The 16,193-nt window shown below is 38.2% G+C and overlaps 1 protein-coding gene across 5 annotated transcripts in view, besides 2 other annotated features; it reads right to left on the bottom strand.

Moving 5' to 3' along the window:
* The window catches only part of DYNC1I1 (dynein cytoplasmic 1 intermediate chain 1), a 337,769-nt gene that overhangs the window by 165,371 nt on the left and 156,205 nt on the right, over window positions 1-16,193 (bottom strand). The window lies entirely within an intron of this gene.
* Window positions 2,793-3,392: an enhancer, noted in NCBI's record as "NANOG-H3K27ac-H3K4me1 hESC enhancer chr7:95570872-95571471 (GRCh37/hg19 assembly coordinates)". NCBI's record gives its function as "activates a minimal SCP1, AML or CMV promoter by ChIP-STARR-seq in naive and primed H9 embryonic stem cells {active_cell/tissue: H9 hESC(naive and primed)}" and the evidence as "EXISTENCE:reporter gene assay evidence [ECO:0000049][PMID:30033119]".
* Window positions 3,393-3,993: an enhancer, noted in NCBI's record as "NANOG-H3K27ac-H3K4me1 hESC enhancer chr7:95570271-95570871 (GRCh37/hg19 assembly coordinates)". NCBI's record gives its function as "activates a minimal SCP1, AML or CMV promoter by ChIP-STARR-seq in primed H9 embryonic stem cells {active_cell/tissue: H9 hESC(primed)}" and the evidence as "EXISTENCE:reporter gene assay evidence [ECO:0000049][PMID:30033119]".

Raw genomic sequence — 16,193 nt, 5'->3', positions numbered from 1 at the left:
GGTGTGCTGCACCCATTAACTCGTCATTTAGCATTAGGTATATCTCCTAAAACTATCCCTCCTCCCTCCCCCAACCCCACAACAGTCCCCAGAGTGTGATGTTCCCCTTCCGGTGTCCATGTGTCCTCATTGTTCAATTCCCACCTATGAGTGAGAATATGCGGTATTTGGTTTTTTGTTCTTGCGATAGTTTACTGAGAATGATGATTTCCAATTTCATCCATGTCCCACCAAAGGACATGAACTCATCATTTTTATGGCTGCATAGTATTCCATGGTGTATATGTACCACATTTTCTTAATCCAGTCTATCATTGTTGGACATTTGAGTTGGTTCCAAGTCTTTGCTATTCTGAATAGTGCCGCAATAAACATACATGTGCATGTGTCTTTATAGCAGCATGATTTATAGTCCTTTGGGTATATACCCAGTAATGGGATGGCTGGGTCAGATGGTATTTCTAGTTCTAGATCCCTGAAGAATCGCCACACTGACTTCCACAATGGTTGAACTAGTTTACAGTCCCATCAACAGTGTAAAAGTGTTCCTATTTCTCCACATCCTCTCCAGCACCTGTTGTTTCCTGACTTTTAATGATTGCCATTCTAACTGGTGTGAGATGGTATCTCATTGTGGTTTTGATTTGCATTTCTCTGATGGCCAGTGATGGTGAGCATTTTTTCATGTGTCTTTTGGCTGCATAAATATCTTCTTTTGAGAAGTGTCTGTTCATATCCTTTGCCCACTTTTTGATGGAGTTGTTTGTTTTTTTCTTGTAAATTTGTTTGAGTTCATTGTAGATGCTGGATATTAGCCCTTTGTCAGATGAGTAGGTTGCAAAAATTTTCTCCAATTTTGTAGGTTGCCTATTCACTCTGATGGTACTTTCTTTTCCTGTGCAGGAGCTCTTTAGTTTAATTAGATCCCATTTGTCAATTTTGGCTTTTGTTGCCATTGCTTTTGGTGTTTTAGACATGAAGTCCTTGCCCATGCCTATGTCCTGAATGTTAATGCCTAGGTTTTCTTCTAGGGTTTTTATGGTTTTAGGTCTAACGTTTAAGTCTTTAATCCATCTTGAATTAATTTTTGTATAAGGTGTAAGGAAGGGATCCAGTTTCAGCTTTCTACATATGGCTAGCCAGTTTTCTCAGCACCATTTATTAAATAGGGAATCCTTTCCCCATTGCTTGTTTTTCTCAGGTTTGTCAAAGATCAGATAGTTGTAGATATGCGGCGTTATTTCTGAGGGCTCCGTTCTGTTCCATTGATCTATATCTCTGTTTTGGTGCCAGTACCATGCTGTTTTGGTTACTGTAGCCTTGTAGTATAATTTGAAGTCAGGTAGCATGATGCCTCCAGCTTTGTTCTTTTGGCTTAGGATTGACTTGGCAATGCGGGCTCTTTTTTGGTTCCATATGAACTTTAAAGTACTTTTTTCCAATTCTGTGAAGGAAGGCATTGGTAGCTTGATGGGGATGGCATTGAATCTATAAATTACCTTGGGCAGTATGGCCATTTTCACGATATTGATTCCTCCTACCCATGAGCATGGAATGTTCTTCCATTTCTTTCTATCCTCTTTTATTTCATTGAGCAGTGGTTTGTAGTTCTCCTTGAAGAGGTCCTTCATGTCCCTTGTAAGTTGGATTCCTAGGTATTTTATTCTCTTTGAAGCAATTGTGAATGGGAGTTCACTCATGATTTGGCTCTCTGTTTGTCTGTTATTGGCATATAAGAATGCTTGTGATTTTTGTACATTGATTTTGTATCCTGAGACTTTGCTGAAGTTGCTTATCAGCTTAAGGAGATTTTGGGCTGAGACAATGGGGTTTTCTAGATATACAATCATGTCATCTGCAAACAGGGACAATTTGACTTCCTCTTTTCCTAATTGAATACCCTTTATTTCCTTCTCCTGCCTAATTGCCCTGGTCAGAACTTCCCACACTATGTTGAATAGGAGTGGTGAGAGAGGGCCTCCCTGTCTTGTGCCAGTTTTCAAAGAGAATGCTTCCAGTTTTTGCCCATTCAGTATGATATTGGCTGTGGGTTTGTCATAGATAGCTCTTATTATTTTGAGATATGTCCCATCAATACCTAATTTATTGAGAGTTTTTAGCATGAAGGGTTGTTGAATTTTGTCAAAGGCCTTTTCTGCATCTATTGAGATAATCATGTGGTTTTTGTCTTTGGTTCTGTTTATATGCTGGATTACATTTATTGATTTGCGTATATTGAACCAGCCTTGCATCCCAGGGATGAAGCCCACTTGATCATGGTGGATAAGCTTTTTGATGTGCTGCTGGATTCGTTTTGCCAGTATTTTATTGAGGATTTTTGCATCAATGTTCATCAAGGATATTGGTCTAAAATTCTCTTTTTTGTTTGTGTCTCTGCCAAGCTTTGGTATCAGGATGATGCTGGCCTCATAAAATGAGTTAGGGAGGATTCCCTCTTTTTCTATTGGTTGGAATAGTTTCAGAAGGAATGGTACCAGTTCCTCCTTGTACCTCTGGTAGAATTCGGCTGTGAATCCATCTGGTCCTGGGCTCTTTTTGGTTGGTAAGCTATTGATTAAAGCCACAATTTCAGAGCCTGCTATTGGTCTATTCAGAGATTCAACTTCTTCCTGGTTTAGTCTTGGGAGGCTGTATGTGTCGAGGAACTTATCGATTTCTTCTAGATTTTCTAGTTTATTTGCGTAGAGGTGTTTGTAGTATTCTCGGATGGTAGTTTGTATTTCTGTGGGATCGGTGGTGATATTCCCTTTATCATTTTTTATTGCGTGTATTTGATTCTTCTCTCTTTTCTTCTTTATTAGTCTTGCTAGCGGTCTATCAATTTTGTTGATCCTTTCAAAAAACCAGCTCCTGGATTCATTAATTCTTTGAAGGGTTTTTTGTGTCTCTATTTCCTTCAGTTCTGCTCTGCTTTTAGTTATTTCTTGCCTTCTGCTAGCTTTTGAATGTGTTTGCTCTTGCTTTTCTAGTTCTTTTAATTGTGAGCCAAGATGGCCGAATAGGAACAGCTCCGGTCTACAGCTCCCAGCATGAGCGACACAGAAGACGGGTGATTTCTGCATTTCCATCTGAGGTACCGGGTTCATCTCACTAGGGAGTGCCAGACAGTGGGCGCAGGACAGTGGGTGCAGTGCACTGTGTGTGAGCCGAAGCAGGGCAAGGCATTGCCTCACTTGGGAAGCGCAAGTGGTCAGGAAGTTCCCTTTCCTAGTCAAAGAAAGGGGTGACAGATGGCACCTGGAAAATCGGGTCACTCCCACCCCAAGACTGCGCTTTTCCAACGGGCTTAAAAAACAGCACACGAGGAGATTATATCCTGCACCTGGCTCGGAGGGTCCTATGCCCATGGAATCTCACTGATTGCTAGCACAGCAGTCTGAGATCAAACTGCAAGGTGGCAGTGAGGCTGGGGGAGGGGCGCCCGCCATTGCCCAGGCTTGCTTAGGTAAACAAAGCAGCCCGGGAAGCTCGAACTGGGTGGAGCCCACCACAGCTCAAGGAGGCCTGCCTGCCTCTGTAGGCTCCACCTCTGGGGGCAGGGCACAGACAAACAAAAAGACAGCAGTAACCTCTGCAGACTTAAATGTCCCTGTCTGACAGCTTTGAAGAGAGCAGTGGTTCTCCCAGCACGCAGCTGGAGATCTGAGAACGGGCAGACTGCCTCCTCAAGTGGGTCCCTGACCCCTGACCCCCAAGCAGCCTAACTGGGAGGCACCCCCCAGTAGGGGCAGACTGACACCTCACACAGCCGGGTACTCCGCTGAGACAAAACTTCCAGAGGAACAATCAGACAGCAGCATAGGCGGTTCACGAAAACCCACTGTTCTGCAGCCACCGCTGCTGGTACCCAGGCAAACAGTGTCTGGAGTGGACCTCTAGCAAACTCCAACAGACCTGTAGCTGAGGGTCCTGTCTGTTAGAAGGAAAACTAACAAACAGAAAGGACATCCACACCAAAAACCCATCTGTACATCACCATCATCAAAGACCAAAAGTAGATAAAACCATGAAGATGGGGAAAAAACAGAGCAGAAAAACTGGAAACTCTAAAAAGCGAGTGCCTCTCCTCCTCCAAAGGAACGTAGCTCCTCACCAGCAACGGAACAAAGCTGGACGGAGAATGACTTTGACAAGTTGAGAGAAGAAGGCTTCAGATGATCAAACTACTCTGAGCTACAGGAGGAAATTCAAACCAAAGGCAAAGAAGTTGAAAACTTTGAAAAAGATTTAGACGAATGTATTAACTAGAATAACCAATACAGAGAAGTGCTTAAAGGAGCTGATAGAGCTGAAAGTCAAGGTTCGAGAACTATGTGAAGAATGCAGAAGCCTCAGGAGCTGATGCGATCAACTGGAAGAAAGGGTATCAGTGATGGAAGATGAAATGAATGAAATGAAGCGAGAAGGGAAGTTTAGAGAAAAAAGAATAAAAAGAAACGAACAAAGCCTCCAAGAAATATGGGACTATGTGAAAAGACCAAATCTGTGTCTGATTGGTGTACCTGAAAGTGACGGGGAGAATGGAACCAAGTTGGAAAACACTCTGCAGGATATTATCCAGGAGAACTTCCCCAATCTAGCAAGGCAGGCCAACATTCAGATTCAGGAAATACAGAGAACACCACAAAGATACTCCTCGAGAAGAGCAACTCCAAGACACATAATTGTCAGATTCACCAAAGTTGAAATGAAGGAAAAAATGTTAAGGGCAGCCAGAGAGAAAGGTCGGGTTACCCTCAAAGGGAAGCCCATCAGACTAACAGCGGATCTCTCGGCAGAAACTCTGCAAGCCAGAAGAGAGTGGGGGCCAATATTTAACATTCTTAAAGAAAAGAATTTTCAACCCAGAATTTCATATCCAGCCAAACTAAGCTTCATAAATGAAGGAGAAATAAAATACTTTACAGACAAGCAAATGCTGAGAGATTTTGTCACCACCAGGCCTGCCCTAAAAGAGCTCCTGAAGGAAGCGCTAAACATGGAAAGGAACAATTGGTACCAGCCACTGCAAAATCATGCCAAATTGTAAAGACCATCGAGGCTAGGAAGAAACTCCATCAACTAACGAGCAAAATAACCAGCCAACATCATAATGACAGGATCAAATTCACACATAACAATATTAACCTTAAATGTAAATGGACTAAATTCTCCAATTAAAAGAAACAGACTGGCAAATTGGATAAAGAGTCAAGACCCATCAGTGTGCTGTATTCAGGAAACCCATCTCACGTGCAGAGACACACATAGGCTCAAAATAAAAGGATGGAGGAAGATCTACCAAGCAAATGGAAAACAAAAAAAGGCAGGGGTTGCAATCCTAGTCTCTGATAAAACAGACTTTAAACCAACAAAGATCAAAAGAGACAAAGAATGCCATTACATAATGGTAAAGGGATCAATTCAACAAGAAGAGCTAATTATCCTAAATATATATGCACCCAATACAGGAGCACCCAGATTGATAAAGCAAGTCCTGAGTGACCTACAAAGAGACTTAGACTCCCACACAATAATAATGGGAGACTTTAACACCCCACTGTCAACATTAGACAGATCAATGAGACAGAAAGTTAATAAGGATACCCAGGAATTGAACTCAGCTCTGAACCAAGCAGACCTAATAGATATCTACAGAACTCTCCACCCCAAATCAACAGAATATACATTTTTTTCAGCACCACACCACACCTATTTCAAAATTGACCACATAGTTGGAAGTAAAGTTCTCCTTAGCAAATGTAAAAGATCAGAAATTATAACAAACTGTCTCTCAGACCACAGTGCAATCAAACTAGAACTCAGGATTAAGAAACTCACTCAAAACCACTCAACTACATGGAAACTGAACAACCTGCTCCTGAATGACTACTGGGTGCATAATGAAAGGAAGGCAGAAATAAAGATGTTCTTTGAAACCAATGAGAACAAAGACACAACATACCAGAATCTCTGGGACACATTCAAAGCAGTGTGTAGAGGGAATCTGATAGCACTAAATGCCCAAAAGAGAAAGCAGGAAAGATCCAAAATTGACACCCTAACATCACAAAAAATGGTTTTTTATTTATTAAAAATAAATAAGGTGATCCATTGCTAATATTTTTACTTGTGTCACTATTTCTGCTACTGCTAATTCTTGCTACTACCACTACCACAACCACTACCTACATCCCACCCCAATCACCACCATTAGCACTTAATAATTTACAAAAAGCTTTCAATACATGACCTTATTACTCATTACATCTTTACAACAGACCTATGAGATTTCCATACATACCTCATGATCCATATTACAGATGAGAAAAATGGGCAGAAAAAATCAATAACTTGTCCAAGGTGAAAAAGTAACAGAGCCATTATTTGAAGCTGGATCTATCTGATGCCAAGTTACCTCATCCAAAATGAGGATATTACAATAAAAAGATTCCAAAGCAATAAAATGCCATATGTGATTATCCTGCATTTTCCCTAACAGGTTAACACCTTCCCCTGCTCCCTGCCAATTTTTATCCTGTCAACATGAAAAGAAATTCTTTATTGGATTACCTACAATGCAATGTAGTTGCAAGCAATTGACTTCTGTTTTTCGAGACTCAGAAACTTTATCAAGTTTACCACCATGGTGAATGTTATTATAACTTGAGAAATAGTTTATCAGATTAGCCTGCTAAATAAAGTATCAGTGAGCAAAGATATGCAACCAATTTGTTATGTGTAAGATACACTCATCTAGATAAAAATGCTCCTTGCCCTTCTGGGCTAATGCAAATGAGAGGAAAATCTCATTGACAGAATGGATAAGAAAACAAACTGCTAAGGTCTCAACAAGAGGGAATTGAGAAGCACCCCAAGTTTTGCACGCTTAAGGAAAGCCTCAGGCACCAAAAGGAAGAAGTGGGCCCAAGTAATAAGTAAAACTCCACTCACTGGAGGAGATGGGTACAATAAATTAGGGTATTATGTGTGTGAGTGTATATATATTATATATTATGGAGGTATACATATATAAGTATATATTATACATACATGGCAAACATCAAGGTGTTAGCAGTGTCTGGAGGAGAGCTGTGTTTATGGTTGGTTGTAAACTTTCTTCTTGTTTTTCTGTATATATTTATTTCTTCTACATTAAAAATGGATTGTCATTGTAATAGGAAAAGGTAAAGTATAATAATATTTTTGCATTTTTTTGTTTTAATATTTTTGGAACCATTTAGAATATTTCAGCTATAATGATGCTTCATCACTAACAACTTCAGCAAACATCTCATAACTCAAGCACATTCTCCTACCAATCATAATACCATTATTATACCAAGAAAATTAATGATAATACCCCAATATTCTCTAATATCTGATCTACATGCATATATCTATAGCTGTTTGCTAAATGTCTTTCATAGGTGCTTTTTTTTTTTTGAACGAAGATTAAATTAAGGTCCATACATCGAATTTGGAAAAATTTTTTTAAATAAAAATTGTACATATTTGAGGTATACAATGTGACATTTTGATATGCATCTACATTGCAGAATGATTACTACAGTCAAGCTAATTAACATACCCATCACCTCACATAGTTAACCTATTTTGTCCATGTGGTGAGAACATGTAAGATCCACTATTATAACAAATTTTAAGTATCCAATATACTATGGTTAACTATAGTCACTATGGTGCACATTAGAGCTCTAGAACTAATCCACCCTACGTAACTGAAACTCCGTACCCTTTAACCAACATCTCCCCATTTTCCCCATACTCTGGCCTCTGGTAATTGACATTGCTTCTAGGAATTTAATTTTTATATATTCCACATATAAGTGAGATAAGGTAGTACTTTTCTTTCTGTGTCTAATTCCACTTAGCATAATGTCCTCAAGTTTCATTCATGTTGCAAATTTCTTCTTTTTTTGTAATTGCTGAATAGTATTTGTGTGTGTGTGTGTGTGTGTGTGTGTGTGTGTGAGACATATTCTTTATCCATTCCTTTGTGGACAAACAGGTTGTTTGCATATCTTGGCTATTGTGAATAATGCTACAATGAACTGTTACTTCTCTTTGGAATCTTTTAACCTAATACAGTCTTGTCCCCAATCATGTCCCCCACCTATTCCATACACACTTTAAAAAATGACATTCCCTTTTAGTAGACATTCACATTCTTATAGATTATTCCATATTCTGGCTATGTCTGATTTTTTTCTCCTGGAACAATCGTATTTTTAATTTCCAAACTATTGTCCTCTGCTTTTTCCACAACATCTTGTTCTTGTTTTCTGAACGTGAGATCATCTCATTACACAAAATGTACTAATTACAGTACTCTTTTTTGGTAATTTTCTTCTCTTCCTTATATTTTTCCTCTACAGATTTTTTCTTTTTTTCTCTTTTTCCAGTATATGCTTTTTAAACACACCTTGTTTCACCTAAAAACCAGATACAGATGAAAAGCCATTCTGTGGTGGTTTCTATAAATCTGGGCACTATCTATGGCCAACTTCCCAGTCTATGGATATTCTAGGATCTTATTTTTAGTAAGAAGTGTTTAGATTATAGCTACTCTACTTGTGACTATCATCAATGCAAGTCCAGGGAAATGGTTCATTACTAAAAACTCAGCTATCGTTTTGACATTAGTTTTCCCAATTATTTTCCTGTCCTTCCCAGCATATCAGCCATGTATATAATTGAACTCTTATGAGTTCTTTATTTTATATGACAAATACACATATTTCATTAATTTCTCAGTAACTACTTCTCTATAATAACTATTCTCTTGCAGACACACCATTCTTGAATTTAATATTTGCTTGCCTATTTAGCAGTTGGATGAGAGTATTATGAGAAATGTGAGGTACGTGAGGTCACATCTGACTAGCTCCTTTAATGGAAAGAAAGAAATTATCTGTGTTACTGTATACTTCAGCTAAGACCAAAAAAACATGAAATTTCTCCACATCCTCACTAATACTTGTCTTTTTAAAATAATAACCATGCTAGCAGGTATGAGGCAATATCTCATTGTGGTTTTGATTTCATTTCCCTGATAATTGTTGACATTGAACATGTTTGCATGTATTGGTTGGCCATTTGTATGTCTTTTTTGGAGAAATGTCTATTTAAATCTGTCGTCCATTTCTTAATCAGGGTATTAGTTTTTTTAAAAAAACTTTTGAGTTGTAGGAGTTCTTTATATATTTTGGACATTAACCACTTATCAGATTTATGGTTTGCAAATATGTTCTCTCAATCTTTAGGTTGCTTTTTCACGCTGTTGATTGTTTCCTTTGCTGTGCATAAGCTTTTTAATTGGAGCACTTGCACACTGTTAGCAAGAATGCAAAATGTTGCAGTCTCTATGGAAAATAGTTTGGCAGTTCCTCAAAAAAATAAAAATAAAATTGCTGTATGATCCAGCAATCACACTTTTCAGTATCCATCCAAAAGAGATGCAACCATAATCTTGAAGTGTTATTAGTACTCCTATGTAAATTGAAACACTATTCACAATAGCCAAGATGTGGAAACAACCTAAATGTTCATTGACATTTGAATGGATAAAGAAAATGTGGTATATTCATGCCACGGAATACTATTCAGCCTTAAAAAGAAGAAAATTCTGCAATATGTGACATCATGAATGAATGTTGGGGATCTTATGCTAAGTGAAATATACCAGTCACAGAAAGACAAATACTGCATGATTCCACTTACCTGAGGTCTCTAAAATAGTTAAATTCATAGAATCAAAGAGCAGAATGGTGGTAAACAGGCTGAGGGGGAGGGGAAAATGGGAAGTTACTAATCAAAGGCATAACATTTCACTCAAGCAAGGTGAATAAGCTCTAGAGATCTGCTATAGGACATTGTATCTATAGTTAACAATAATTTATGGTACAAATTTTTGTTGGGAGAGTAGATCTTATGTTAAGTGTTTCTAACACAGACACACACACACACACACACACAAAACAAAAAACAAAAACAAAAACAAAAAAAAACGAAGAACAAAAAAGCCTCGGTGTTTTTTCTTAACTTTGAGATGCTACAAGTCATTTCCTTTTACTTTGTAGTTTTGTGTATATTTATATTCTTATATTTTTATTTTGCTAGTATGAAAAAGGATTTGCAGTCTCAAGTGATAGTATGAGATAGCAATTTTAAAATTCAAGGAGAGGCAAGGAGAAGTCAGGCAGGGATTTTAAAACAAGTAAAATCCACCAGGTGGATAATACATGTGATGATATTGGCAGTTAACCAGGTGAACTTAAAGTCTCTTCCAGTTCTGGGAGTTCTTTATTCTATGACTTTGGTGTTTTACAATGAGGACTTGCCTTCATTCTCTGTTCATATGAAGCCAAGACAACAAACTAACAGTGTCTATGAGAAAGAACTATTTATCATACCATTTTATTTGTGGATATGTAACTGATTGGTTTTCAATGAGTTGTTTCAGTATTTTATAAGTTCAGCCACAGGTTTACATAATGGAAGCCTTAAGAATTACTTGAATTACTAAGAAAAAATTCCCACTTATATGTTGATCATGTTTTGTTTCTTTGCTTTTCCTAACAAGGGCTATAATTTGGGAACCAAAGCTTTTGTTTGTAATTTAACATGTGACCCCTAGTACCTAATAGTGTACCGGTATACCCTAGAGGAACTCCAGAAGTACTCAGTAACCATCTATTAACCTAAGAAAATGTCCAAAATTGTTTCATTTCTCCAAATCATTGAGGGGGGCCATGGTTGGTTGTTTTCAGGCTGTTTTCCTGTCTCCATGCAGTTTTTAGTCCAAGAAATTGAACAGCAGAGTTTACTCTGGTCATTTTCTTCTTTATCACTGTTCCAAGACCACCAGGCAATTATTGCTAGCACTTACATAAATACAATTATCAGTGGCAAACTTTCTTCTATACTACTGTATAGAATGTGAACCGTGATTGTTCTCTAGGCTAATCTTTCATTGGCACCAATGGGTGATCCCAGACTGAATTTATGAATTAATAATAGGGAGCTCTAAGTGTCGGGTTTCATTTTATGTTACATCTTTTACCACCACTAGGCTCAAAATAAATCCTGCTAAGAATAGCCAAGGAGAAAAGGCTGTGGGTGGCATAACAAGGGCGACTGAAAGGCGGGTGTCTCAAAGGCAGGTGTCTCATTCACTTTAAGTGTTTACATAATTTTATGTGAAGTTTTTTTTAAAAAAAATGTGTCACTGCCTTCAGTGCAGTGTCATGTCACCTCTGCAAGGGTTTGGATTCAAATGGTGTGTCTATCATGAACAGAAATGCCAACATGTTTAAAAGCCATTTCTTCATGAAAATATAGGTTTTGCCAAAACCCACATTTGGTGCCATTTCTAAGCTACCAAAAATGTCAATTCACGTGAGCATCAATTATTACTCTTGCTTTACAAGAAACAAAATTATTTCCTTACAATTCTAGAAATTGTTAAGTTTCTGTATCTGATTAACCCTTTTGAGACACATCAATGGCTAAAATGGCTTCATCTGAGGCTGCTTCCTTTCTAATGATACTTTAATACACATGAACAAACAGACTGGCATTGTTAGGAATGAGAATCTCAAACCGGCTGTGGATTCATTTGGACTCTTCTTTGCTGTGGTTGCTGAGACAATGACAGCTGATATTTTATCACAAATGAAGCTACTCTAATATGAATTTTCATATTTAGAGATTATGTTTTTAAAAAGTATAAATAAAGATTCTCTGTGCTGGCTGCTGTGGCTCACATCTGTAATCCCAGCACTTCGGGAGGCCAAGGTGGGAGGATTGCTTGAGGACAGGATTTTGAGACCAGCCTGGGCAACATGGTGAGACCCCCATCTCTACTAAAACATTTAAAAATTAGCCAAGTGTGATGACACAAGCCTGCAGGCCCAGACACTCAGGAAGCTGAGGCAGGAGGATCACTTGAGCCCAGGAATTCAAGGCTGAAATGAGCTATGATTGTGCCACTGTACTCAAGTCTGGGCAATAGAGTGAGACATTGTCATCTCAAAAAAAAAAAAAAAATTAAAAAATAAATAAAGATAGTCTGACAAACTAGAAAACTTTAAAATGATGTGCTACTGTAAGTCTTATGCCTTCTGAGTTGTAAAAATCAGGTATTTCAACTTTTAGCCCCTGGTTCTAGTGTCAGTGGACAAGCTAAGCCATGATCGAAACCTACTACTATGATCTTGAACAAATCACTTAACATTTGTGAGGCTTGGTGTCCTCATCTAAAAATGGAAAGGGTTCAACTTGATAATTGTGGAAGTTCCTAGAAGCTTGACATATTCAATGGTTTCATGTTTCTAATATATGCAGTGTGATCTTGACATTTTCTCAGGCGGGGTCAAGCTGACAAATACCCTACCCAAGGACACTTCTAATTCCTTCATATGTCCTTTAGGTAGACAGATTTTTCCATTCTGCTCAGGCCTTTCCCTAGAGTAGTCCCTGCCCAGCAATTAGAAGCATAAAATGTCCATTCTGAATAATGCCCACTGTCATGTTTGAAGTCCCTGACCAAGTTAATTAACCCCTTTTTTCTTTATAGTAGCCATGATTATCACATTAATTTCTCTGTTGTGAAAATGTGCCGCCATAGTGTGTATGTGATTTTCCAGTACTGGTAGGAGAAATAGAGACTTTTGCCAGTTTTTATTGCTGCATTCCTTTCAACAGTAAAAGCTGAATATAAGCTACATAGTCACCCATAGGAGATGATAAAATAAGTTTAACTTTATCCTGCTATGGACAATATGTGACAGCTAAACAGAATGAGGTAGAGAGCAACATATTTTGACATGAACAGCAAATCTTGAAGGTATTCTGTTAAATGGAAAAATAGGTATTGAGCAATATGTACTATATAATACCATTTATGTAAAAATAGACACAATTATACATATATAAATAGTAAATATAAAATTGCATATTGTGAAATCCTTTAAAACCTTTCAGACATGTTGGAAATTAAGACGCTGGCAGCAAGTTAGACTGACAAGTCATTATGATTAACGCCACCACAATCAATAGTAAAATAACATTTAGCTGTATATTAATTTAAATATAAAAAATGCAAACGAAAATGATCTAGAACAGAGATCAACAAAATTTTTCTGTAAAGCGCTAGTCAGTAAACATTTCAGGCTTTGGGGGCCATGTGGTCTGTATTGCGGCTACACAGCTGAGCTGTTGCAGTGTGACAGCAGCCAGGGACAATATGTAAATAAATGGGCGTGGCTGTGTTTCAACAAAACTTTATTTACAAAAACAGGTAGGGAGCTGGATTGGCCTTTGGGTTAGAACTTGCTGACCTCTGAACTAGAACAATACAAACTAGTCTGATGAAAGGAATATCTATGTGGAACAAACTAGAACTGATGAAAATAAGTCAAGTGGAATTTTCTCTTTATCAGTATTATTAGATTCTTTTAAGTTAAAAATGTAGTCATAGGCCGGGCGCAGTGGCTCACGCCTGTAATCCCAGCACTTTGAGAGGCCGAGTGGGTGGATCACTTGAGGCCAGGAGTTTGAGACCAGCCTGGCCAACATGGCGAAACCCCATCTCTACAAAAAATGCAAAAGTTAGCTGGGTGTGGTGGTGCAAACCTGTAATTCCAGCTACTCAGGCGGCTGAGACACCAGAATTGCTTGAACTGGGAGGTGGAATGGAAGTTGCAGTGAGCCGAGATTGCGCCACTGCACTCCAGCCTGGGCTACAAAGTGAGACTCTGTCTCCAAAAAAAAAAAAAGTATTCATGAGTTACTTCTATACTTAAAAACATATTTAAAAGATTAAACTGATAATAAAAGAATAATTAGAAAATATTTCACCTGACATTTAATGCAGCAATACTCTGAATTAACCAGTTTTTCTACGATCTTCCCAATAAGCATCACATGAAGCAATCTTCCTTCCAGGAAAATGCCAGGGCTTTGTTCTCCAATTAGCTGTCCTGTGAACACTGAAATACTGTAGCCTAGAACCTACAGAGCTAACAGACAAGAAACAATGGGGGCAGAATCCCACTCTGAAAAGCTTATGGAGCAACCAACCTCTCCAGTAAATGAGGACAAGCTACCCTGTTATGTTTCCTTTTTAAATATTTTTTTTACATCAAAAACACATTGCAAGGTAGTGAGGACTTTACGGACATCCTACCAAAACAGGCTGAATAATTCTGATATTGAAAACCAGCCTAGTTTTAATTAACTGCCAGGACTCAGCCACATCCTCAAGCTCCAGATAGCCAATAACAATCTTGTAATTTCTAAATGTGAATGCCACTCAGGTGGAGACCAAATAGTGAGGTTTCAGCTTACCTCTTAAATTGTAAACATAAAATTTCAGATATCCATAGCAACCAGACCTCCCTCCACCTTAGACACTTTCCTCAAGAAAAGGGAGGAAAAAGCATTTCTGCGGTGGACAGTACATAGACAGTTGCCCATTAAAATGGTAACATTGAAATATAAATAGCCCAACCTTTTCATCATTTATTGACAAATGACTTACCAAACTGCTAGTGAAATCCTTTAAAAACCTCTCAGATATGCTGGAAATTAAGACACCAGCAACAAGTTAGATTGACAAGTAATTACAATTAATGCCACCCCAATCATTAGTAAAACACATTTAGCTATATATTTGTAGGCCAATATTTAATAGCAAAACAGAATTCTAAGAACACCACTGTGCCCAAAAGCTCTCTGATCTTTACCAATTTAGCAACCAGCCAGGCTAGAATAGAATAAATATCACATGGTCTGGGAAAATGGGCTGTCCTGATTCTGAAAGATTGTGCTGGCTCTTGATATGGGGAGCCATCTGTCAATGCTCTTTGAAAAAGTGAGAAATCAGGGCTACTTCTCTAGCATTCGTGAATCTAACCTTCTGTGCTGTCACCCTTTCCTTGGGAAATATTTCTTAAGAGCCAGATGTTAGTATTCATTTCAGTTCACAAAACAGTTACTTCCCAAGGTCTATCAGCAGCAGAATGGATAAATAAATAATGGCATAGTCACACAGTGAAATACTACATAGTCATGGTAGTGAATGAACCACATCTACATACAACAGCATGAATGCTTCTGAAACATAATGTGAAATGAAAGATGTTAGCCATGAATGCATATGTACCATATGATGACATTTGTAGAAAATTTAATAAGGGGCATAACTAATCTATGATGTAGTGGTTACCCTTGGGGGAGGAGAGACTGAATATGGACTTCTGGGTTTCTCCTTATATTCTGAATCTTGATCTGAAGACTGGTTTCATGGTATGTTCATGTCAAAAATATCAAGTTGTACACTCCTGATTTGAGTACTTTCCTGCATGCTTTTACGCTTTCAAAAAATTTACAAGCAACAACAAACAACCCCAGCACAATTGTTAATGAGCAGCATACTTTCCAGGCTCTATGAAGGAACTAGGAAAAATATGACAAGCTTTAGCCTCCAGAAACTTATATTCAAGTAGGAGAGATGAGTATAAAAAGCAAAACCATATCATTTTATGTAATAAGGTTACATAAAACATAAAAAGTATTACATATTACAGTGTTAGGTAAAGGGAGTTCCAGGAGCAATTTCTTCTGCTCTCATTGTGAGCAAAGATCACAGTAGGTGACACTCAGCCAGCCTTTGAGGACTGAGTTCAATAAATACAGGGTGAAGGAAAGGGATATTCTAGGCATGGGCACCCTGGGAGGTTAGGGCATTGCAGGATGGAAGAGCAGAAAATACTAGTGATAGAATATGAAAATCATCCACATTGTGTGGGCCTGGACAATTAAAACATGCTCATCTTTATGCATTTGTTGAGTACATCACAGTTTTCCAAAGGACACTTTACTCGTACCCAGTTGCAGGACTCTTATCTTCAAACGAGGAGTATCTTGAACACTGTTGTATCAACTGTGTAATACCGGTAAGTTTGGGGACGGAAGGGAGGGAGAAAGGAAAGAAGCCAGGCTCACATAGTAATACTCTTAACAAGCACAAGAAAACAGCAAGAACCACCACTTATGCTTCATAATTTATATGCATTGTCTGTTGCATTTCATCCTCACAACTCTAGGAGCTGGAGACTATTATTATCTCCATTTGGTGGATGCCAAAACTGAGGCTTAGTGAAGCT

This window comes from Homo sapiens, chromosome 7 (genome assembly GCF_000001405.40).
Source record: "Homo sapiens chromosome 7, GRCh38.p14 Primary Assembly".
In the NCBI taxonomy this organism is placed as follows: Eukaryota; Metazoa; Chordata; class Mammalia; order Primates; family Hominidae; genus Homo; species Homo sapiens.
The sequence above is the reverse complement of the archived record's forward strand: the minus strand, read 5'-3'. Positions and strand labels throughout refer to the sequence as shown.